The 24312-nt window shown below is 41.7% G+C and overlaps 1 protein-coding gene, 1 long non-coding RNA gene and 1 pseudogene across 10 annotated transcripts in view, besides 1 other annotated feature; 2 read left to right on the forward strand and 1 right to left on the reverse strand.

Moving 5' to 3' along the window:
- LOC105377855 (uncharacterized) overlaps window positions 1-21905 on the reverse strand; it is a 54497-nt gene extending 32592 nt beyond the window's left edge. The window contains exons 1-2 of the long non-coding RNA XR_007059641.1: window positions 21722-21905; window positions 16120-16237 (exon numbers count right to left, since the gene is read on the reverse strand). This is a non-coding gene — a long non-coding RNA (uncharacterized LOC105377855). The remainder of the gene's footprint in view (window positions 1-16119; window positions 16238-21721) is intronic.
- The window catches only part of KCNQ5 (potassium voltage-gated channel subfamily Q member 5), a 576790-nt gene that overhangs the window by 356406 nt on the left and 196072 nt on the right, over window positions 1-24312 (forward strand). The window lies entirely within an intron of this gene.
- Window positions 7832-9675, forward strand: KNOP1P4 (lysine rich nucleolar protein 1 pseudogene 4; annotated as a pseudogene).
- Window positions 15346-15940: an enhancer, noted in NCBI's record as "OCT4-NANOG-H3K27ac-H3K4me1 hESC enhancer chr6:73703538-73704132 (GRCh37/hg19 assembly coordinates)". NCBI's record gives its function as "activates a minimal SCP1, AML or CMV promoter by ChIP-STARR-seq in primed H9 embryonic stem cells {active_cell/tissue: H9 hESC(primed)}" and the evidence as "EXISTENCE:reporter gene assay evidence [ECO:0000049][PMID:30033119]".

A 24312-nucleotide genomic window follows, 5' to 3' on the forward strand; every position in this document is an offset into this window, starting at 1 on the left:
TATCTATTTGGTTCTTTCCACACTGAATGAGTATCTTCAAGAAACTCAGACTTCTGATAGGGACTCAGTGATGAGACAACAATTAAGAAGAATCTGGACTTTCCCATTCCAAAGCCTCTTCTCAAGGCAGTTGTGATCCTTTTAAAAAACACAGACTAAAGTAAGTGGACAGAATAAGTACATAGATAAAGAAACACAGAAGTTAGGAACACAATTTTTTTATTATACTTTGAGTTCTAGGGTACATGTGCACAACGTGCAGGTTTGTTACATATGTATACATGTGCCGTGTTGGTTTGCTGCACCCATTAACTCGTCATTTACATTACATATTTCTCCTAATGCTATCCCTCCCCCATCCCCTGACCCCACAACAGGCCCCAGTGTGTGATGTTCCCCTTCCTGTGTCCAAGTGTTCTCATTGTTCAGTTCCCGCCTGTGAGTGAGAACATGCAGTGTTTGGTTTTCTGTCCTTGTGATAGTTTGCTCAGAATGATGGTTTCCAGCTTCATCCATGTCCCTACAAAGGATATGAACTCAACCTTTTTTATGGCAGCATAGTATTCCATGGTGTATATGTGCCACATTTTCTTAATCCAGTCTATCATTGATGAATATTTGGGTTGGTTCCAAGTCTTTGCTATTGTGAATAGTGCCGCAGTAAACATACGTGTGTATGTATCTTTATAGTAGCATGATTATAATCCTTTGGGTATATACCCAGTAATGGGAATGCTGGGTGAAATGGTATTTCTAGTTCTAGATCCTTGTGGAATCGCCACACTGTCTTCCACAATGGTTGAACTAATTTACTCCCACCAACAGTGTAAAAGTATTCCTATTTCTCCACATCCTCTCCAGCATCTGTTCTTTCCTGACTTTTTAATGATCTCCATTCTAACTGGTGTGAGATGGTATCTCATTGTGGTTTTGATTTGCATTTCTTTGATGACCAGTGATGATGAGCATTTTTTCATGTGTCTGTTGGCTGCATAAATATCTTCTTTTGAGAAGTGTCTGTTCATATCCTTTGCCCACTTCTTGATGGGGTTGTTTGATTTTTTTCTTGTAAATTTGTTTAAGTTCTTTGTGGACTCTGGATATTAGCCCTTTGTTAGATGGGTAGATTGCAAAAATTTTCTCCCATTCTGTAGGTTGCCTGTTCACTCTGATGGTAGTTTCTTTTGCCATGCAGAAGCTCTTAGTTTAATTAGATTCCATTTGTCAATTTTGGCTTCTGTTGCCATTGCTTTTGATGTTTTAGTCATGAAGTCCTCGCCTGTGCCTATGTCCTGAATGGTAATGCCTAGGTTTTCTTCTAGGGTTTTTATGGTTTTAGGTCTAACATTTAAGTCTTTGATCCATCTTGAATTAATTTTTGTATAAGGTGTAAGGAAGGGATCCAGTTTCAGCTTTCTACATATGGCTAGCCAGTTTTCCCAGCACCATTTATTAAATAGGGAATTCTTTCCCCATTTCTTGTTTTTGTCAGGTTTGCCAAAGCTCAGATGGTTGTAGATGTGTGGTGTTATTTCTGAGGCCTCTGTTCTGTTCCATTGGTCTCTATCTCTGTTTTGGTACCAGTACCATGCTGTTTTGGTTACTGTAGCCTTGTAGTATAGTTTCAAGCCAGGTAGCATCATGCCTCCAGCTTTATTCTTTTTGCTTAGGATTGACTTGGCAATGTGGGCTCTTTTTTTGGTTCCATATGAACTTTAAAGTAGTTTTTTCCAATTCTCTAAAGAAAGTCACTGGTAGCTTAATGGGGATGGCATTGAATCTATAAATTACCTTGGGCGGTATGGCCATTTTCACAATATTGATTCTTCCTATCCATGAGCATGGAATGTTCTTCCATTTGTTTGTGTCCTCTTTTATTTCATTGAGCAGTGGTTTGTACTTCTCCTTGAAAAGGTCCTTCACATCCTTGTAAGTTGGATTCCTAGGTATTTCATTCTCTTTGTAGCAATTTTGAATGGGAGTTCACTCATGATTTGGCTCTGTTTGTCTGTTATTGGTGTATAGGAATGCTTGTGATTTTTGCACATGGATTTGTATCCTGAGACTTTGCTGAACTTGCTTATTAGCTTAAGGAGATTTTGGGCTGAGAGGGTAGGGTTTTCTAAATATACAATCATGTCATCTACAAACAGCGACAATTTGACTTCCTCTTTTCCTAATTGAATACCTTTTATTGCTTTCTCTTGCCTGATTGCCCTGGCCAGAACTTCCAACACTATGTTCAATAGGAGTGGTGAGAGAGGGCATCCCTGTCTTGTGCCAGTTTTCAAAGGAAATGCTTCCAGTTTTTGCCCATTCAGTATGATATTGGTTGTGGGTTTGTCATAAATAGCTCTTATTATTTTGAGATACGTTCCATCAATACCTAGTTTATTGAGAGGGCTGTTGAATTTTGTCAAAGGCCTTTTCTGCATCTGTTGAGATAATCAAGTGGTTTTTGTCTTTGATTCTGTTTATGTGATGGATTACATTTATTGATTTGCATATGTTGAACCAGCCTTGCATCCCAGGGATGAAGCCAACTTGGTCTTGGTGGATAAGCTTTTTGATGTGCTGCTGATTTGGTTTGCCAGTATTTTATTGAGGATTTTCTCATCGATATTCCTCGGGATATTGGTCTAAAATTCTCTTTTTTTGTTGTGTCTCTGCCAGGCTTTGGTATCAGAATGATGCTGGCCTCATAAAATGAGTTAGGGAGGATTCCCTCTTTTTCTATTGATTGGAATAGTTTCAGAAGAAATGGTACCAGCTCCTCTTTGTACCGCTGGTAGAATTCAGCTGTGAATCCTTCTGGTCCTGGACTTTTTTTGGTTGGTAGGCTATTAATTATTGCCTCAATTTCAGAGCCTGTTATTGGTCTATTCAGGGATTCAACTTCTTCCTGGTTTAGTCTTGGGAGGGTGTATATGTATAGGAATTTATCTATTTCTTCTAGATTTTTTAGTTTATTTGCAGAGAGGTGTTTATAGTATTCTCTGATGGTAGTTTGTATTTCTGTGGGATCGGTGGTGATATCCCCTTTTCATTTTTTATTGCATCTATTTGATTCTTCTCTCTTCTCTTCTTTATTAGTCTTGCTAGTGGTCTATCAATTTTGTTGATCTTTTCAAAAAGCCAGCTCCTGGATTCACTGATTTTTTTGAAGGGTTTTTTGTGTCTCTAACTCCTTCAGTTCTGCTCTGATCTTAGTTATTCCTTGCCTTCTGCTAGCTTTTGAATGTGTTTGCTCTTGCTTCTCTACTTCTTTTAATTGTGATGTTAAGGTGTTGATTTTAGATCTTTCCTGCTTTCTCTTGTGGGCATTTAGTGCTATAAATTTCCCTCTACACACTGCTTTAAATGTGTCCCAGAGATTCTGGTTGTGTCTTTGTTCTCATTGCTTTCAAAGAACATCTTTATTTCTGCCTTCATTTCGTTATTTACCCAGTAGTCGTTCAGGAGCAGGTTGTTCAGTTTCCACACAGTCATGCGATTTTGAGTGAGTTTCTTATTCCTGAGTTCTAATTTGATTGCACTGTGGTCTAAGAGACAGTTTGTTGTGATTTCTGTCCTTTTACATTTGCAGAGGAGTGCTTTACTTCCAACTCTGTGGTCAATTTTGGAATAAGTGTGATGTGGTGCTGAGAAGAATGTATATTCTGTTGATTTGGGTTGGAAAGTTCTGTAGATGTCTATTAGGTCTGCTTGGTGCAGAGCTGAGTTCAAGTCTTGTATATTCTTGTTAACCTTCTGTCTCGTTATCTGTCTAATATTGACAGTGGGATGTTAAAGTCTCCCATTATTATTGTGTGGGAGTCTAAGTCTCTTTGTAAGTCTCTAAGGACTTGCTTTATGAATCTGGGTGCTCCTGTATTGGGTACATATATATTTAGGACAGTTAGCTCTTCTTGTTGAATTGATCCCTTTACCATTATGTAATGGCCTTGTGTTCTTTGTCTCTTTTGATCTTTGTTGGTTTAAAGTCTGTTTTATCAGAGACTAGGATTGCAACCCCTGCTTTTTTTTTTTTTTTTTTTTTTGCTTTCCATTTGCTTTGTAGATCTTCCTCCATCTCTTTATCTTGAGCCTATGTGTGTCTCTGCATGTGAGATGGGTCTCCTGAATACAGCACACTGATGGGTCTTGACTCTTTATCCAATTTGCCAGTCTGTGTCTTTTAATTGGGGCATTTATCCCATTTACATTTAAGGTTAATATTGTTATGTGTGAATTTGATCTGTCATTATGATGTTAGCTGGTTATTTTGCCCATTAGTTGATGCAGTTTCTTCCTAGCATCAATGGTCTTCACAATTTGACGTTTTTGCAGTGTCTGGTACCGGTTGTTGCTTTCCATGTTTAGTGCTTCCTTTAGGAGCTCTTGTCAGGCAGGCCTGGTGGTAACAAAATCTCTCAGCATTTGCTTGTCTGTAAAGGATTTTATTTCTCCTTCACTTATGAAGCTTGGTTTGGCTGGATATGAAATTCTGGGTTGAAAATTCTTTTCTTTAAGAATATTGAATATTTGCCCCCACTCTCTTCTGGCTTGTTGAGTTTCTGCCGAGAGATCCGCTGTTAGTCTGATGGGCTTCCCTTTGTGGGTAACCCGACCTTTCTCTCTGGCTGCCCTTAATATTTTTTCCTTCATTTCAACCTTGGTGAATCTGACAATTATGTGTCTTGGGGTTGTTCTTCTCAAGGAATATCTTTGTGGTGTTCTCTGTATTTCCTGAGTTTGAATGTTGGCCTGCCTTGCTAGGTTGGGGAAGTTCTCCTGGATAATATCCTGAAGAGTGTTTTCCAACTTGGTTCCATTCGCCCTGTCACTTTCAGGTACACCAATCAAATGTAGATTTTGTCTTTTCACATAGTCTCACATTTCTTGGAGGCTTTGTTCATTTCTTTTTACTCTTTTTTCTCTAAACTTCTCTTCTCACTTCATTTCATTAATTTGATCTTCAATCACTGATACCCTTTCTTCCACTTGATCGATAAGGCTGTTGAAGCTTGTGCATGTATCACATAGTTCTCATGCCATGGTTTTCAGCTCCATCAGGTCATTTAAGGTCTTCTCTACACTGTTTATTCTAGTTAACCATTCATCTAATCTTTTTTCAAGGTTTTTAGCTTCCTTGTGATGGGCTCGAACATCCTCCTTTAGCTCGGAGAATTTTGTTATTACCAACCTTCTGAAGCCTACTTCTGCCAACTTGTCAAAGTCATTCTCTGTCCAGTTTTGTTCCATTGCTGGTGAGGCGCTGCGATCCTTTGGAGGAGAAGAGGCACTCTGCTTTTTAGAATTTTCAGCTTTTCTGTTCTTGTTTCTCCCCATCTTCGTGGTTTTATCTACCTTTGGTCTTTGATGATGGTGATCTACAGATGGGGTTTTGGTGTGGATGTCCTTTTTGTGGATGTTCATGCTATTCCTTTCTGTTTGTTAATTTTCCTTCTAACAGTCAGGTCCCTCAGCTGCAGATCTATTGGAGTTTGCTGGCGGTCCACTCCTGGCGGTCCACTCCAGACCCTGTTTTCCTGGGTGTCACCAGTGGAGGCTGCAGAACAGCAAATATTGCAGACTAGCAAATATTGCTGCCTGACCCTTCCTCTGGAAGCTTCGTCCCAGAGGGGCATCGGGCTGTATGAGGTGTCAGTCGGCCCCTACTGGGAGCTGTCTCCCAGTTAGGCTACATGGGGGTCAGGGACCCACTTGAGGAGGCAGTGTGTCCATTCTCAGATCTCGAACACCATGCTGGGAGAACCACTGCTCTCTTCAGAGCTGTCAGACAGGGACGTTTAAATCTGCAGTGGTTTCTGCTGCCCTTTGTTCAGCTATGCCCTGCCCCCAGAGGTGGAGTCTACAAAGGCAGGCAGGCCTTGTTGAGCTGCGTGGGCTCCACCCAGTTTGAGCTTCCAGGCTGCTTTGTTTACCTACTCAAGCCTCAGCAATGGTGGATGCCCCTCCCGCAGCCAGGCTGCCGCCTCACAGTTTGATCTTGGACTGCTGTGCTAGCAGTGAGCAAGGCTCCATAGGCGTGAGACCCATCGAGCCAGACATGGGATATACTCTCCTGGTTTGCTGTTTGCTAAGACCATTGGAAAAGCCTAGTATTGGGGTGGCAGTGTCCCGATTTTCCAGGTACAGTCTGTCACGGCTTCCCTTGGCTAGGAAACGGAAATCCCCCCACCCCTTGTGCTTCCTGGGTGAGGCAATACCCCGCCCTGCTTCAGCTCACCCTCCATGGGCTGCACCCACTGTCCAACTGGTCCCAGTGAGATGAACCAGGTACCTCAGTTGGAAATGCAGAAATCACCCGTCTTCTGTGTCGATCACACTGGGAGCTGCAGACCAGAGCTGTTGCTATTCGGCCATTTTGGAACCAATCCCAACAATTTTTTTTAATAACAGTAAAAACAAGAAATTCGAAGCCCTGGAGAGGGCCTATAAGAAAAGCAAGAAGTCAGGCACAGTGGCTCACACCTGTAACCCCAGCACTTTGTGAGGGCAATGCAGGAAGATCACATGAAATCAGTAGTTAGACCAGCCTGGGCAACAAAGTGAGACTGTCACTACAAAAATTTTTGTCTAAATTAACCTGGCATAGTGGCATGTGCTGGTAGTCCTAGATACTTGGGAGGCTGAAGCAGGAGGATTGCGTGAGCCCAGATGTTCAAGGCTGCAGTGAGCTATGATCTGGCCACTGTACACCAGTGTGGGCGACAGCGCAATATGTTGTGACACATGCACCAAAAAAAAGAGAAGCAAGAAAGAACGTAGGAAGAAATCAATCTTGTTCACCCAGAAATTCTCCAAAGAACTCAGATTTTTTACTCTGTGTTTTTAAATATTGAGAAAATGGAAGGCATGTAACTAACAGCATATTTTTAACAGTTTAAAAAACCACAGTCATCAAGAGTAATTTCAGATGAGCTGAAAACCAGATAAACCACAACATTCCCCTGTCCCCAAAAAGGACTTTTTTAAATTACAGGAATAGAAAAGAAATAATCCTACTTGTTGGTGGTCAGTATTGTTACAGTAACACCAAGAGATCAGAGCTATGAAAATCCTAACCTCTTCCTAATTTTCCATCAAAAAGCCTGATTTTCCACCACAGAATGCAAATGAAAACCACAATGATATTTCATCTCACACTAGTCAGAATGGCTAGTATTGAAAAGTCAAAAACAACAGATGCTGGTGAGGCTGTGGAGAAAACGGACAACTTATATCCTGTTAGTGGGAAGGTAAATTAGTTCAACTACTTTGGAAAGCAGTTTAGAGATTTCTTAAAGAACTTAAAGCAGAAAACTACCATTTGACCCAGCAATACCATTACTGGCTATATACCCAAAGGAAAATAGATCATTACACCAAAAAGACATATGTACTCCTGTGTTCATTGCTGCACTATTCACAACAGCAAAAATATGGAGTCAACTAGCTGCCCATCAATGGTGGATCGGATAAAGAAAATGTGGAGGCTAGGTATGGTGGCTCATGCCTGTAATCCCAGCACTTTGGGAGGCCAAGGCAGGTGAATCATGAGGTCAGGAGTTCGAGACCAGCCTGGCCAACATGGTGAAAGCCCGTCTCTACTAAAAATACAAAAAATTAGCCGGGCCTTGTGGTGGGCACCTGTAATCCTAGCTACTCGGGAGGCTGAGACAGGAGAATCGCTTGAACCCAGCAGGCAGAAGTTGCAGTGAGCCGAGATCGCACCATTGCACTCCAGCCTGGGTGACAGTGTGAGACTCCATCTCAAAAGAAAGAAAGAAAATGTGGAACATATACACCACGGAATACTACACAGTCATAAAAAAGAATGAAATTGGGGTCACAGTGGAGCAGGCTCTCATGTGGAGGTGGGGAAGTTTGGTCCATCAGAATGATCACCAAGAAACACAAAGCAGACCTGGGCCCTGGGCTCCCAGAGAAGAAAAAGAAGAAGAAAGTGGTCAAAGAACCAGAGACTCAATACTCAATTTTAAACAATGATGATTACTTTGCCAATGTTTCTCCTATAAGAGCCACATCCCCCTCTAAGAGTGTGGTCCATGGGAAGGCACCTGAGATGCCTCTAGTGAAGAAAACAAGTAAAAGAAGGGTGTCAGCACCCTTTGTGAGGAGCACGTAGAACCTGACACCACGCTGCGTGCCAGACGGTCAGAGAAGTCACCCAATCCCAGGAAGCAGGTGCTTGGCCATTTGGAGTTCCTCTGTGGGGAGAAGAAAAAGAAGAAGTCACCTCCAGCCATGTCCCATGCCTCTGGGGTGAAAACCTCCCCAGACCCCAGACAGGGTGAAGAGGAAACCAGAGTTGGCAAGAAGCTCAAATAACACAAGAAGGAAACAAAGGGGGCCCAGGACCCCACAGCCCTCTCAGTCCAGAACCCTTGGTTCTGCGAGGCTGGGGATGCTGCGGACACTTGCTCAGTGGGGAAGAAGGGTGAGGAACAGGCAGCCTTGGGGCAGATAACGGAAGCAGAAGAGCCCCAGGGAGCACAGTGGGAAGGTGAAGAAGAAGAAAACAAAAATCCACCAGGAGGGAGATGCCCTCCCAGGCCACTCCAAGCCCTTCAGGTCCATGGAGAGCAGCCCTAGGAAAGGAAGTAAAACGAAGCCAAAGTTGAGGCTCCGGAATACATCCATCCCCAAAGGAGATGGCCCTAAGGCCCCCGAGAAGAAAAAGATGAAGTCCAAGAAGGTAGAGCAGCCAATCATTGAGGAGCCGGCTCTGAAAAGGAAGAAAAAGAACAAGAGGAAAGAGAGTGGGGCAGCAAGAGACCCTTGGAAGGAGGAAACAGAGACGGACTTAGAGGTGGTGTTGGAAAAGAAAGGCAACATGGACGAGGCGCACATAGACCAGGTGAGGCGAAAGGCCTTGCAAGGAGAGATCGATCGAGAGTCAGGCAAAACGGAAGCTTGTGAAACCAGGAAGTGGACGGGAACCTAGTTTGGCCAGTGGGATACTGCTGGTTTTGACAACGAGGAACAGAAACTGAAGTTTCTCAAACTTACTGGTGGCTTCAAAAACCTGTCCCCTTCGTTCAGCCGCCACCCCCTCCAAGCCCCGCAGCACGATTGCAAGGTCCAACATAGCCCTCAGCAAGAAGGCGGCCGACAGCCTGCAGCAGAACCTGCAGCAGAACCTGCAGCAGGACTGTGACCGGGCCATGAGCTGGAAGTACAGCCGCGGAGCCCGTCTCTGCTTCTCCACCGCCCCCAACAAGATCTTTTATATTCATAGGAACGCTTCCAAGTTAGCCAAGCTGGAAGATTAAACTCTAGAGTTTTGTCCCCTCAAAACTGCCACAATTGCTTTGATTATCCCATTTATGCTGGAGATTACAAGTTTTTTTTGGTGAAAAATCAGATCTTGGTGATGACCTTGAGCAGTAGGATATAAATAACTCCCATAAACTTAGCGTTCCAATAATGGAACACTAGGCATAAGTGGGTTATTCAGTTGTGCTGATGAAAGCCATCTGACAGTTGGCTCACATTGAACACCTGTGGAGACTAAGGACAAGGACAAGGACAACTATCTTGATGGGCTTGGATGAACTGGGGAGAGGCAGCTCATGTTTGGGGAGCCAGGAGAACAAGTGAGTGGCTAAAACCTCCTGTTTTCTGTGTTAAACATTCCGTCCCTGTTTGAGACATCAATGTGTACAGATGACCTTTGTTGAGTGTTTAGCAGGTGCTAGGCACATACTAGTGTTTTCCTTAATGTATTTAATCTTCATAATTATGAAATGGGTGCTATTATTATCCGCATCTTATAGATGAGGCAAAGGAAGTTCAGGGATAAAGTAATAAAATGCCCTGGGATCACCCAACCACTAAAAACAAACAAACAAAAGAATGAAATCATGTCCTTTGTCCCAACATGGATGAAACTGGAGGCCAAAGTCCTAAGCAAATTAGTACAGGAACAAAAAAACAAATACCAGATGTTCTTACTTATAAGTGGATGCTAAATGTTGAGTACCCACGGTCGTAAACATGGGAACAATAGACACTGCAGACTACTAGAGGGGAGGGGAAGGAGAAGGGCGTAGGTCAAAAAACTACCTACTGGGTACTGTGATGACTACCAGAGTGTAATACCCATGTAACAAATCTGTACATGTACCCCCTCTATCTAAAATAAAACTTGGGGAAAAAAAGCATGATTTTCTTTTTTTTTTTTTTTTTTATTATACTCTAAGTTTTAGGGTACATGTGCACATTGTGCAGGTTAGTTACATATGTATACATGTGCCATGCTGGTGCGCTGCACCCACTAATGTGTCATCTAGCATTAGGTATATCTCCCAATGCTATCCCTCCCCCCTCCCCCGACCCCACCACAGTCCCCAGAGTGTGATATTCCCCTTCCTGTGTCCATGTGATCTCATTGTTCAATTCCCACCTATGAGTGAGAATATGCGTTGTTTGGTTTTTTGTTCTTGCGATAGTTTACTGAGAATGATGGTTTCCAATTTCATCCATGTCCCTACAAAGGATATGAACTCATCATTTTTTATGGCTGCATAGTATTCCATGGTGTATATGTGCCACATTTTCTTAATCCAGTCTATCATTGTTGGACATTTGGGTTGGTTCCAAGTCTTTGCTATTGTGAATAGTGCCGCAATAAACATACGTGTGCATGTGTCTTTATAGCAGCATGATTTATAGTCATTTGGGTATATACCCAGTAATGGGATGGCTGGGTCAAATGGTATTTCTAGTCCTAGATCCCTGAGGAATCGCCACACTGACTTCCACAATGGTTGAACTAGTTTACAGTCCCACCAACAGTGTAAAAGTGTTCCTATTTCTCCGCATCCTCTCCAGCACCTGTTGTTTCCTGACTTTTTAATGATTGCCATTCTAACTGGTGTGAGATGATATCTCATAGTGGTTTTGATTTGCATTTCTCTGATGGCCAGTGATGATGAGCATTTCTTCATGTGTTTTTTGGCTGCATAAATGTCTTCTTTTGAGAAGTGTCTGTTCATGTCCTTCGCCCACTTTTTGATGGGGTTGTTTGTTTTTTTCTTGTAAATTTGTTTGAGTTCATTGTAGATTCTGGATATTAGCCCTTTGTCAGATGAGTAGGTTGCGAAAATTTTCTCCCATGTTGTAGGTTGCCTGTTCACTCTGATGATAGTTTCTTTTGCTGTGCAGAAGCTCTTTAGTTTAATTAGATCCCATTTGTCAATTTTGTCTTTTGTTGCCATTGCTTTTGGTGTTTTGGACATGAAGTCCTTGCCCACGCCTATGTCCTGAATGGTAATGCCTAGGTTTTCTTCTAGGGTTTTTATGGTTTTAGGTTTAACGTTTAAATCTTTAATCCATCTTGAATTGATTTTTGTATAAGGTGTAAGGAAGGGATCCAGTTTCAGCTTTCTACATATGGCTAGCCAGTTTTCCCAGCACCATTTATTAAATAGGGAATCCTTTCCCCATTGCTTGTTTTTCTCAGGTTTGTCAAAGATCAGATAGTTGTAGGTATGTGGCGTTATTTCTGAGGGCTCTGTTCTGTTCCATTGATCTATATCTCTGTTTTGGTACCAGTACCATGCTGTTTTGGTTACTGTAGCCTTGTAGTATAGTTTGAAGTCAGGTAGTGTGATGCCTCCAGCTTTGTTCTTTTGGCTTAGGATTGACTTGGCAATGCGGGCTCTTTTTTGGTTCCATATGAACTTTAAAGTAGTTTTTTCCAATTCTGTGAAGAAAGTCATTGGTAGCTTGATGGGGATGGCATTGAATCTGTAAATTACCTTGGGCAGTGTGGCCATTTTCACGATATTGATTCTTCCTACCCATGAGCATGGAATGTTCTTCCATTTGTTTGTGTCCTCTTTTATTTCCTTGAGCAGTGGTTTGTAGTTCTCCTTGAAGAGGTCCTTCACATCCCTTGTAAGTTGGATTCCTAGGTATTTTATTCTCTTTGAAGCAATTGTGAATGGGAGTTCACCCATGATTTGGCTCTCTGTTTGTCTGTTGTTGGTGTATAAGAATGCTTGTGATTTTTGTACATTGATTTTGTATCCTGAGACTTTGCTGAAGTTGCTTATCAGCTTAAGGAGATTTTGGGCTGAGACGATGGGGTTTTCTAGATAAACAATCATGTCGTCTGCAAACAGGGACAATTTGACTTTCTCTTTTCCTAATTGAATACCCTTTATTTCCTTCTTCTGCCTGATTGCCCTGGCCAGAACTTCCAACACTATGTTGAATAGGAGCGGTGAGAGAGGGCATCCCTGTCTTGTGCCAGTTTTCAAAGGGAATGCTTCCAGTTTTTGCCCATTCAGTATGATATTGGCGGTGGGTTTGTCATAGATAGCTCTTATTATTTTGAGATACGTCCCATCAATACCTAATTTATTGAGAGTTTTTAGCATGAAGGGTTGTTGAATTTTGTCAAAGGCTTTTTCTGCATCTATTGAGATAATCATGTGGTTTTTGTCTTTGGCTCTGTTTATATGCTGGATTACATTTATTGATTTGTGTATATTGAACCAGCCTTGCATCCCAGGGATGAAGCCCACTTGATCATGGTGGATAAGCTTTTTGATGTGCTGCTGGATTCGGTTTGCCAGTATTTTATTGAGGATTTTTGCATCCATGTTCATCAAGGATATTGGTCTAAAATTCTCTTTTTTGGTTGTGTCTCTGCCCGGCTTTGGTATCAGAATGATGCTGGCCTCATAAAATGAGTTAGGGAGGATTCCCTCTTTTTCTATTGATTGGAATAGTTTCAGAAGGAATGGTACCAGTTCCTCCTTGTACCTCTGGTAGAATTCGGCTGTGAATCCATCTGGTCCTGGACTCTTTTTGGTTGGTAAACTATTGATTATTGCCACAATTTCAGAGCCTGTTATTGGTCTATTCAGAGATTCAACTTCTTCCTGGTTTAGTCTTGGGAGAGTGTATGTGTCAAGGAATGTATCCATTTCTTCTAGATTTTCTAGTTTATTTGCGTAGAGGTGTTTGTAGTATTCTCTGATGGTAGTTTGTATTTCTGTGGGATCGGTGGTGATATCCCCTTTATCATTTTTTATTGTGTCTATTTGATTCTTCTCTCTTTTTTTCTTTATTAGTCTTGCTAGCGGTCTATCAATTTTGTTGATCCTTTCAAAAAACCAGCTCCTGGATTCATTGAGTTTTTGAAGGGTTTTTTGTGTCTCTATTTCCTTCAGTTCTGCTCTGATTTTAGTTATTTCTTGCCTTCTGCTAGCTTTTGAATGTGTTTGCTCTTGCTTTTCTAGTTCTTTTAATTGTGATGTTAGGGTGTCAATTTTGGATCTTTCCTGCTTTCTCTTGTAGGCATTTAGTGCTATAAATTTCCCTCTACACACTGCTTTGAATGCGTCCCAGAGATTCTGGTATGTGGTGTCTTTGTTCTCGTTGGTTTCAAAGAACATCTTTATTTCTGCCTTCATTTCGTTATGTACCCAGTAGTCATTCAGGAGCAGGTTGTTCAGTTTCCATGTAGTTGAGCGGCTTTGAGTGAGATTCTTAATCCTGAGTTCTAGTTTGATTGCACTGTGGTCTGAGAGATAGTTTGTTATAATTTCTGTTCTTTTACATTTGCTGAGGAGAGCTTTACTTCCAACTATGTGGTCAATTTTGGAATAGGTGTGGTGTGGTGCTGAAAAAAATGTATATTCTGTTGATTTGGGGTGGAGAGTTCTGGAGATGTCTATTAGGTCTGCTTGGTGCAGAGCTGAGTTCAATTCCTGGGTATCTTTGTTGACTTTCTGTCTCGTTGATCTGTCTAATGTTGACAGTGGGGTGTTAAAGTCTCCCATTATTAATGTGTGGGAGTCTAAGTCTCTTTGTAGGTCACTGAGGACTTGCTTTATGAATCTGGGTGCTCCTGTATTGGGTGCATAAATATTTAGGATAGTTAGCTCCTCTTGTTGAATTGATCCCTTTACCATTATGTAATGGCCTTCTTTGTCTCTTTTGATCTTTGTTGGTTTAAAGTCTGTTTTATCAGAGACTAGGATTGCAACCCCTGCCTTTTTTTGTTTTCCATTGGCTTGGTAGATCTTCCTCCATCCTTTTATTTTGAGCCTATGTGTGTCTCTGCACATGAGATGGGTTTCCTGAATACAGCACACTGATGGGTCTTGACTCTTTATCCAACTTGCCAGTCTGTGTCTTTTAATTGCAGAATTTAGTCCATTTATATTTAAAGTTAATATTGTTATGTGTGAATTTGATCCTGTCATTATGATGTTAGCTGGTGATTTTGCTCATCAGTTGATGCAGTTTCTTCCTAGTCTCGATGGTCTTTACATTTTGGCATGATTTTGCAGCGGCTGGTACCGGTTGTTCCTTTCCATGTTTAGCGCTTCCTTCAAGAGCTCTTTTAGGGCAGGCCTGGTGGTGACAAAATCTCTCAGCATTTGCTTGTCTATAAAGTATTTTATTTCTCCTTCACTTATGAAGCTTAGTTTGGCTGGATATGAAATTCTGGGTTGAAAATTCTTTTCTTTAAGAATGTTGAATATTGGCCCCCACTCTCTTCTGGCTTGTAGGGTTTCTGCCGAGAGATCCGCTGTTAGTCTGATGGGCTTTCCTTTGAGGGTAACCCGACCTTTCTCTCTGGTTGCCCTTAACATTTTTTCCTTCATTTCAACTTTGGTGAATCTGACAATTATGTGTCTTGGAGTTGCTCTTCTCGAGGAGTATCTTTGTGGCGTTCTCTGTATTTCCTGAATCTGAACGTTGGCCTGCCTTGCTAGATTGGGGAAGTTCTCCTGGATAATATCCTGCAGAGTGTTTTCCAACTTGATTCCATTCTCCACATCACTTTCAGGTACACCAATCAGACGTAGATTTGGTCTTTTCACATAGTCCCATATTTCTTGGAGGCTTTGCTCATTTCTTTTTATTCTTTTTTCTCTAAACTTCCCTTCTCGCTTCATTTCATTCATTTCATCTTCCATTGCTGATACCCTTTCTTCCAGTTGATCGCATCGGCTCCTGAGGCTTCTGCATTCTTCACGTAGTTCTCGAGCCTTGGTTTTCAGCTCCATCAGCTCCTTTAAGCACTTCTCTGTATTGGTTATTCTAGTTATACATTCTTCTAAATTTTTTTCAAAGTTTTCAACTTCTTTGCCTTTGGTTTGAATGTCCTCCCGTAGCTCAGAGTAATTTGATCGTCTGAAGCCTTCTTCTCTCAGCTCGTCAAAATCATTCTCCATCCAGCTTTGTTCTGTTGCTGGTGAGGAACTGCGTTCCTTTGGAGGAGGAGAGGCGCTCTGCGTTTTAGAGTTTCCAGTTTTTCTGTTCTGTTTTTTCCCCATCTTTGTGGTTTTATCTACTTTTGGTCTTTGATGATGGTGATGTACAGATGGGTTTTCGGTGTAGATGTCCTTTCTGGTTGTTAGTTTTCCTTCTAACAGACAGGACCCTCAGCTGCAGGTCTGTTGGAATACCCTGCCGTGTGAGGTGTCAGTGTGCCCCTGCTGGGGGGTTCCTCCCAGTTAGGCTGCTCGGGGGTCAGGGGTCAGGGACCCACTTGAGGAGGCAGTCTGCCCGTTCTCAGATCTCCAGCTGCGTGCTGGGAGAACCACTGCTCTCTTCAAAGCTGTCAGACAGGGACACTTAAGTCTGCAGAGGTTACTGCTGTCTTTTTGTTTGTCTGTGCCCTGCCCCCAGAGGTGGAGCCTACAGAGGCAGGCAGGCCTCCTTGAGCTGTGGTGGGCTCCACCCAGTTCGAGCTGCCCGGCTGCTTTGTTTACCTAAGCAAGCCTGGGCAATGGCGGGCGCCCCTCCCCCAGCCTCGTTGCCGCCTTGCAGTTTGATCTCAGACTGCTGTGCTAGCAATCAGCGAGATTCCGTGGGCGTAGGACCCTCTGAGCCAGGTGTGGGATATAGTCTCGTGGTGCGCCGTTTCTTAAGCCGGTCTGAAAAGCGCAATATTCGGGTGGGAGTGACCCGATTTTCCAGGTGCGTCCGTCACCCCTTTCTTTGACTCGGAAAGGGAACTCCCTGACCCCTTGCGCTTCCCAGGTGAGGCAATGCCTCGCCCTGCTTTGGCTCGCGCACGGTGCGCACACACACTGGCCTGCGCCCACTGTCTGGCACTCCCTAGTGAGATGAACCCGGTACCTCAGATGGAAATGCAGAAATCACCCGTCTTCTGCGTCGCTCACGCTGGGAGCTGTAGACCGGAGCTGTTCCTATTCGGCCATCTTGGCTCCTCCTCCCATGATTTTCTTTTTTTAAACTAAAAGGGATTTTTAAAAATATGATTAAGAAACAGTGAAAATATGAGATGGGAAAATTGTTGGCTATTAATAAGTTCATATTTTTGCATCTAGCTTTGTATCATAAGGTATCAAAGTATTTGAAGATGAAACTGAAGAACTTTCATTAATAGTTTCTCATAATATTTTAGCTTTTATTTATGTACAGGAGTATGATAAATTTTAAAAAATCTTGAAAAAATGTGATGAATGCCAAATGACCAGAGAGAGAAAAAATATCCTGAGTGCCAAAAAGGAGTAAAATAGGAGGCCCTGGGCTTTGTATATTGATAAGCTCAATAACAATTCCTAGAAATATTCTAGATAGAATATTAAGCAAATGATTTATAATAAATTTGAGGGCCAGGCACAGTGGCTCATGCCTGTAATCCCAGCACTTTGGGAAGCCAAGGCGAGTGGATCACTTCAGGTCAGGAGTTCAAGACCAGCCTGACCAACATGGTGAAGCCCCATCTCTACTAAAAATGCAAAATTAGCCAGGCATGGTGGTGCACGCCTGGAGTCCCAGTTACTTGGGAGGCTGAGGCAGGAGAATCGCTTGAACCCAGGAGGTGGACTTTGCAGTGAGCTGAGATTGCGCCATTGCACTCCAGCCTAGGCAACAAGAGCGAAACTCTGTCTCAAAAAAAAAAAAAAAAAGGGAAAGAACAACTATCATTCCTAGAAAATAACATAAGTTCATCAAGAGTAAAAAAATTACATTAAATAATGCTTATTTCTTATTTTGATAGGTTAACCAGATTGCTACATCAGGGGAATAGAGTAGATAAAATGTCTTGATTTCAGCAAAGCACTGATAAGTGCTTTATAATATCTTTGAGGGAAACAAAGAGAAATTCAGGTAAGATGATAGTCGTGGGAGAAGAGGTACCTGATAGGGGTGCTCCAAAGTCAAGATATGGTGTTTGTAAAGAAATTCGGAAGATAAGGGTAAAACATTAGGAGGTTCTTGTTTAGGGAGTGGGTAGTTCATGCTAGGAATAAATGAATCAAGATTACCATAGTAATATGTAAATGTAACAAATATAAAGACTTTCCAGAAATCCAAGTGAGCAAAATCTATTCATTTTCATTTAAGTTCAATTTGAATCAATGGCGTCATTTAGTTCTTTTAAAAAAAATGCAACTTTAGATTGAATACTCCCATTTCAAAGAAAGAGTAGTAATAGACAAAAACACATCTTTACGGCTTTTGTTACTTGGTCAAATATATCCTGAATACCTTGTAACGTGCAGAAAACATCTGTGGCTGCTTACATAATATATGCGGTACAAGTGGATAAAAATAAGCAAAAGTTTGTCTTCCCATTTAACTGAAAGCCCTGATGAGGACACAGACTATGCCTGAGTTCCCAGTTCCTGGTACAATGTCTGTAAATATTTGTGATTGATATAATACAGTGAAAGTAAGATAATGATAGAACAGTGCAAAGAAATTGGGAATGAAGTTAATCCATAAAAATGTATACCAGAAGGATCTGGGACACTATTACTATTTGTAATGTGGGTCCCAAATTCACCTTTGAGCCTCTTGGCATCCAAGGCAAGGAAACAAATATGTTAAAAGATCACAGTCTCCGAAACCTAAAACTTCATCCCTTTTGCCAGAAGCAACGTGTTAATAGATTTTTCTTGCAATAAAATCCTGAGAGAAATTTCTCACAGGATGCCTCATTGAGCAAATACAATGTGAAATAGGGAGAAATTCTTAAAATACGGTAAGCTGGTTAAATGCTTTTTACTCCTAGTTAAAGTAATTCCTTTAGGGACCAAAGAAGTAGGGTCCAAGTACACAGATTGCCAGTGGTCAGCTTTGCTCCAGGCCCTGTGGTGTGGTAGGAAAAGTACAACAAATTAAGTGATTGCATATACTTGAGACAGTCTTTTTTGAAACCAAACTTTTGCTGTAGCTGGGCAGTATCCAGTTTGAATCTGTATTCCCCAGCAAGAATGGACAATGCAGATATTTACTGTTGGTGATTAAATGCCAATTCTTTTGCTTACACTGAAGAATGAGAATGAGTCTCAGTCCCACTTTGAGGGATGTAACAACAAACTGGGCAAACGTAAAGAACAGTGACAAGGAGAATGACACGTCAGGACATAATTTCATATACAAAGTAGGCAGCAAACTGGGCTCGGTATATTGAATCTGAAGACCAACAGGGAAGTCATGATAAAACCAACCTCAAACATCTGAAGAACTCTCTTAGGGAGGAAGGAGCACACGTCTTCTGTGGTCCAGATCCTGACCAAGGAGTAAAGGTCCCAGACAAGGAGAGCGAACTCAGGAGAAAATCAATTTCCAACGGTAGAGCTGTCTGTAACAGGGCTATGCCGCCGTAAAATGATGGGAGGGTCCTGGATGCTGGAGGGGTTTAGAGAGACACTGCACAACTGTCTATCAGTGATGTTTCAAAAATAATCCCTGTCCTCAAAGGGAGACTGAATCAGAAATCCTTCTGGCCACACGAATTTCCTGATCCTGAGGTGAGAAGGCATGCTCCATGTCTGTCTACGCGGAGTCCACTGACTGCTCTGAGGGAAACCTCTTGAACTGTTTATGGGTTCTGTTGCCATCTCCTAGCTTTTTTACATTAGCCATAGTCCTTTAAAGAAATACTCTAAGCAAGCAGAAACCACAGTTTCCCATACCCTCCAATTTCCTCTTAACATCCCACATGTAAAATGCAATATTTCATTCTTTAAAAACTGCTCGCTGATGACGATATTTTTAAAACTTCACAGGCCGGGCACAGTAGCTCATGCCTGTAATCCTAGCACTTTGGGAGGTAGAGGCGGGCGGATCACGAGGTCAGAAGATCGAGACCATCCTGGCTAAAGTGGTGAAACCCCATCTCTACTAAAAATACAAAAAAAAAAAAAATTAGCCAAGCATGGTGATGGGCACCTGTAGTCCCAGCTACTCAGGAGGCTGAGAAAGGAGAATGGCGTGAATCCGGAAGGGGGAGCTTGCAGTGAGCCGAGATTGCGTCACTGCACTCCAGCCTGGGTGACAGAGCAAGACTCTGTCTCAAAAAAAAAAAAAAAAAAAAAAAAAAAAATTCACAGAGATTTCAGTGATAGTATTTATTGATTAGGGTCTTTGTTAATATTTAAGGTTCATTGCACTTGAAAAGCAGAATCGTGCAGTGTTCTAATCAATTATTCCAAATCACCGTTAAAGACACTAAAAATGTCATATTTAATTTTTATTGCTTTGCAGTGGAAGCTGAGGCATGCTCTGAGTAGATCCCAGGTGCCAAATGCACTTCTCTTATGGAAACATTATGCATAAAGGATATTTTGCAAAGTACCAAGTTTAGAAAGAAAGGTAAATTTAGGATGCTGGAAGAAAGAAATGACTCCAGTGCTTCCCTCTGCTGATGAAGTTTTGATTTCATTAGGTGGCCTGTCCTCCAGGCAAAGTGCTGTGCCAGCCAGTGGGGTCAGCTATAGTCTCTAATGTCAGCAGGCATACTCCAGTCATCATAATTCATGAAATGCTCTCAAGGTCCCCTGTCAAATGCACTGAAGATCATACTTCATCAAAGCAATACTTAAAGTTTATGAAAAGTCAGAAGCAGGGTTGAATTTCCTTTGGAAGTTATTTCTGAAGAATTGTTTTCTTAAAATATTCTATATCTTCTTCCTGTTAGCATCTTTTATTTCAATCCTATGGTTCCATTCCATTTAAAACATTTAAGGGCCAGGCACGGTGGCTCATGCCTGTAATTCCAGCACTTTGGGAGGCCGATGCGGGCGGATTATGAGGTCAGGAGATCGAGACCATCCTGGCTAACACAGTGAAACCCCATCTCTACTAAAAATACAAAAAGCATTAGCCGGGCTTGGTGGTGGGTGCCTGTAGTCCCAGCTACTCAGGAGGCTGAGGCAGGAGAATGGCGTGAACCCGGGAGAAGGAGCTTGCAGTAGGTCAAGATCACGCCACTGCACTCCAGCCTGGGCGACAGAGTGAGACTCCATCTCAAAAAAAAAAAAAATTTAAGATCTCCCCTCCCTCAAAACTTTCTTAATGAGTATAACTAACTTACATGGGCCATTATGCCATGGAACACTTACAGTCTGCCAAAATGCTTGCAGAGAGCACCTGCTAGGTGGAAATGTGTGGTTGCTTCAATCAGCAAAGCCTACTCTGTTGATTTGACTGTTGTATCATGCTAAGTTCAGGGAGATGTCTACTTTAAACCTCAGCTCCATTTCTCCTTTCTTCATTGCATCATTCACAATTGTTTGTGAGTACCTGGGGATTGTGTGTTTGTGTGAATGCCAATAGGGTAACTTGCCATGGTTCGTTCAGTAGAGCTTTTCTGAATGTTTTATTTTCACATCATTTTCATTCTTGCTAAATGAATCTGTGCTTGATGCACTAGTTCTGGAAGCTAGACATTATCTGTTATACAAGCACCCATGAGATTCCCAAGTCAAGCTTTTTGTCAAATTAAATCTAACAAATTGATTCTTAATTAACCCACAAGAAAGGCTGATGATAGTTTTCTTGAGTAAACATAGAGTCCTTTGAGTTGGTAATATTTAAATTTTTTATAAATTTCCTTCTTTTTCTCTTACAATAATCAGTGCCTTCCAAATAAGTTTTGGATAAAAGATCTAGATCAAAATGAATTTCCTCAGAAACAAAATATAAATGACTGTTTCAGGCAAAATAAAGGCCAATAGCTGTTCCAGACTAATTTTGAAGGAATATCCATCTTATGATACCTCAGGATTAACGTATACATGGAAAAACATTCATATATTTTAAACTCATCATAAAGCTGACAGGTGCAAAACTGGGCCCTCTTCCAGCCCCGTCTTACCAATTCTCAATTACAGATGTCTTAATTTTTATGTGTGCCATGGGCCCTTCAGCAATCTTGTGGAAACTATGAACCATTCCTCAAATATATGTGACTACAAAAGGAAAAATTATGATGAAATCTATTATTAAAACATTACACAAATTTGCAATATGGCAATGCATATGCTTCTTTATTAAAAACAACCCCTAGCAGTAGGGCTAATAGCTACATAATCTTGAAATGATGAGCAAAATCAATATTCAAGATGAAACAATTATGGTTTCATCTACAACTGTAAAATGAGATTTTAAAATCTGTGATTTTTGTGAGCAACAAATTCACAAGTACGGCTAATACCATCATGATCTATTGCCATGGTTAGCGAAAGATAAACACATAAATATCCCCCCTCTATGTTCACTACCCCCTAAATTTTACACACAGATCCCCTGGAGGACCGTGGACTCTACATTAGGATAGCCTGAGCCCAGTGACTCTTGCCACCGCTTCTACTTGTATTCAACCACTAGAGAGGTGCGTTGGGGTCATGGTCAGTAATCAGCATGCATACATGCGCACAGGATCCTCAGAAGCAATAGAGTCAGCAAAACCACACACACAAACCTCACTATGTCACTGCCAATCAGCCCAACATCTGAACACTGTCACCTTACGGGGGTCACTCTGTGTCAGTTCAGTGTTTTCTCCAGCCAGAAAGTCTGCCTCTGGCAATGATACCAAGAGCTAATTCAGAGCAGAATGTGTTCATTGTTCTCCATGATGTCATTTGCCAAATGAAAGAAATGGTTCTAGAATATCCTCTATGCTTATTTACCAAAACTTTATATGCTTGGTCTGCACTGTCAGGATAACATGTTCCATACATTTACTTTTTCTAGGGGGAAAAAAATACTTCCATATCTCCAGCTAGAATTTATAGCCGAGATTTAAATCCACATTTCCACGTGGATGTCTAAAACTGGATTTATCCTCTTCTCCCCAAAACCAGTTTCTCCTTCTGACTTTGACTTTTCTTCTCCTGACTTGTACAGTCATCTCAGACTTTCCAGCCACCACACCCGCTTCCCAGACTCCACTCCCCAATTTACAGCATCCCTTCAGTCTCCCTGTTTATTCCATTCTCATTTCTACTATGTTCATTTACAGCCTAACCTAGATTCACTGTTACCCTTGTTCCTGCCTCTCACTACTCAGATCCATTCTATACACACTGCTGCCAACTTAATTTTCCCAGAAGGCAACTCTGATGACCCTTTTATCCTGTCCAGAAATCTTCAATGGCTCCCCATTTTCTACTGAACTAAATGCAGACTCTGCCCTACAAGCCTCTCCTCCACTTAGCTCCAGACTCCCAATTCAGCCACCTGTTTCATCCTGTTCTGCAAACTTTGATAATTCTCGTTCCATGAAACAAAAGGCAAATAGTTTGCCTCATTCATTTTCTGACTTGCTGCCTTCCACATTTTGTACCCTCCTTCTAGGATGTGTTTCTCCAGAAATTTCTCTTGTTGAAACCTTACTCTTCCTTCAAAGACCATCTCAAACACCATCTTTTTTTTGGAACACTTCTTGATGTGCTCCCACCTTTCCCAACTAAATAGAATCCCTCCCCACTTTCAGCCTCTGTAGCATTTTTCTTAGCACTTATCTGCCTCTGCCTTTCATTCTGATCCAATGTGTTCACTTTGCCCACCTCACTAGATTTTAATTCCTAGTGGTAAGAATTTGTAGACCATTCCTGAAAATCCATTTTTGGCATAGGAATTATTTCAACACAATTGAAAACATGTATTGAGTACCCATTGTAGAAGGCACTGTACCAAAGGCTACCAGCTGTACAAGGCTAAATTAAAACAGCATTCAAATATTGATGAAGAAGGAACTAGCAATAAGATGTGTTTCGAGCACAGACATAGATTATAAAACTGCCATTGGGATGCTCTTGAAGGAGGAAAGCATCTTAATGATTAAATAATCCCCTGCTCGCTTTTCCAAGTGTTTTCTGGGAAACCTGGACTTGGTGGGGAAAGGGAGGGAATATCCAGATAAGGGCTCCTCACCAGAGGAGGACATCTATCACTGTCATCTGATGCCACATCATCCTCCCAACTACCTTAGTAATCCCTGTATTTTACTTTCTCATTTATAGTTTGGGGGTCAGGTAGGTGCACTGGATTTTGACCACTAGTTTGCAAATTTTAGTCCATTAGGACCAACTTAAAATATAATCCACAGTATCCTGAATCATTAGATGCATGAATCAAAAGTAGGATGATGCCAGACACACTTTGGGAGGCTGAGGTGGGAGGATCCCTTGAGGCCAGGAGTTCGAGACCAGCCTGAGCAACATGGTGAGACCCTGTCTCTACAAAAAATTTTAAAAAAAATTAGCCAGGCCTGCTGGCCTGCGCCTATAGTCCCAGCTCTCAGGAGGCTGAGGTGGGAGGATAGCTTGAACCCTAGGAGTTCAAGGTTAAAGTTACAATGAGCTATGAATGCACCACTGCACTCTAGCCTGGTCAACAGAGGAAGACCCTATTTCTAAAAAAATAAAAATGAAAAATAAAAAAGCATGATGAATCATTAACATCGTGTACTAGGTTTTTTCACTAGCAGGCTCTTTCCTCTTGGAGCCTTCTGTTTAGAATGGCAACCCCTTTCCCCTCAGTTTGAGGAGATAGAGAAGTGTCTTCCTGAGCCGAGAATACCACCACCATTCTCATCTCTGATGCTTATTCAGCACACTGCATAGAGGCTTAGACTACACAGTGCTTAGGTTCTCTTTCTGCTACACAACCTTGGAAGAGCTACAAATGTTAATTCTCAGTTTTCATATCTGTAAAATGGGGATTATAATAATTTTATTCCATAAATTTCTGGGGATAACATAGAGATAATTGATAATGTAAGAATGAGGAGAATGCATTTAAAAGGGACTTAGCACAGTGTCCAGCTTGTAGGAACCCCTCTATGAATGTTAGTCATTATTATCAGCATAGAAAACATGTTGGGATAAATATAAAGAAACAAGGAATAAATGTGGTGGGGTCATCTATTGACCCCTGAATAGTCAGGGGTCAACAAACATTTCTGTGGGCCTTACTGACCCTGTTATAACTACTCAGTTCTGCAATCATAGCATGAAAGCAGCCATAGACAATACATAAATGAATGACTGTGACTGTGTGCTGATA

This window comes from Homo sapiens, chromosome 6 (genome assembly GCF_000001405.40).
Source record: "Homo sapiens chromosome 6, GRCh38.p14 Primary Assembly".
NCBI lineage: Eukaryota > Metazoa > Chordata > Mammalia > Primates > Hominidae > Homo > Homo sapiens.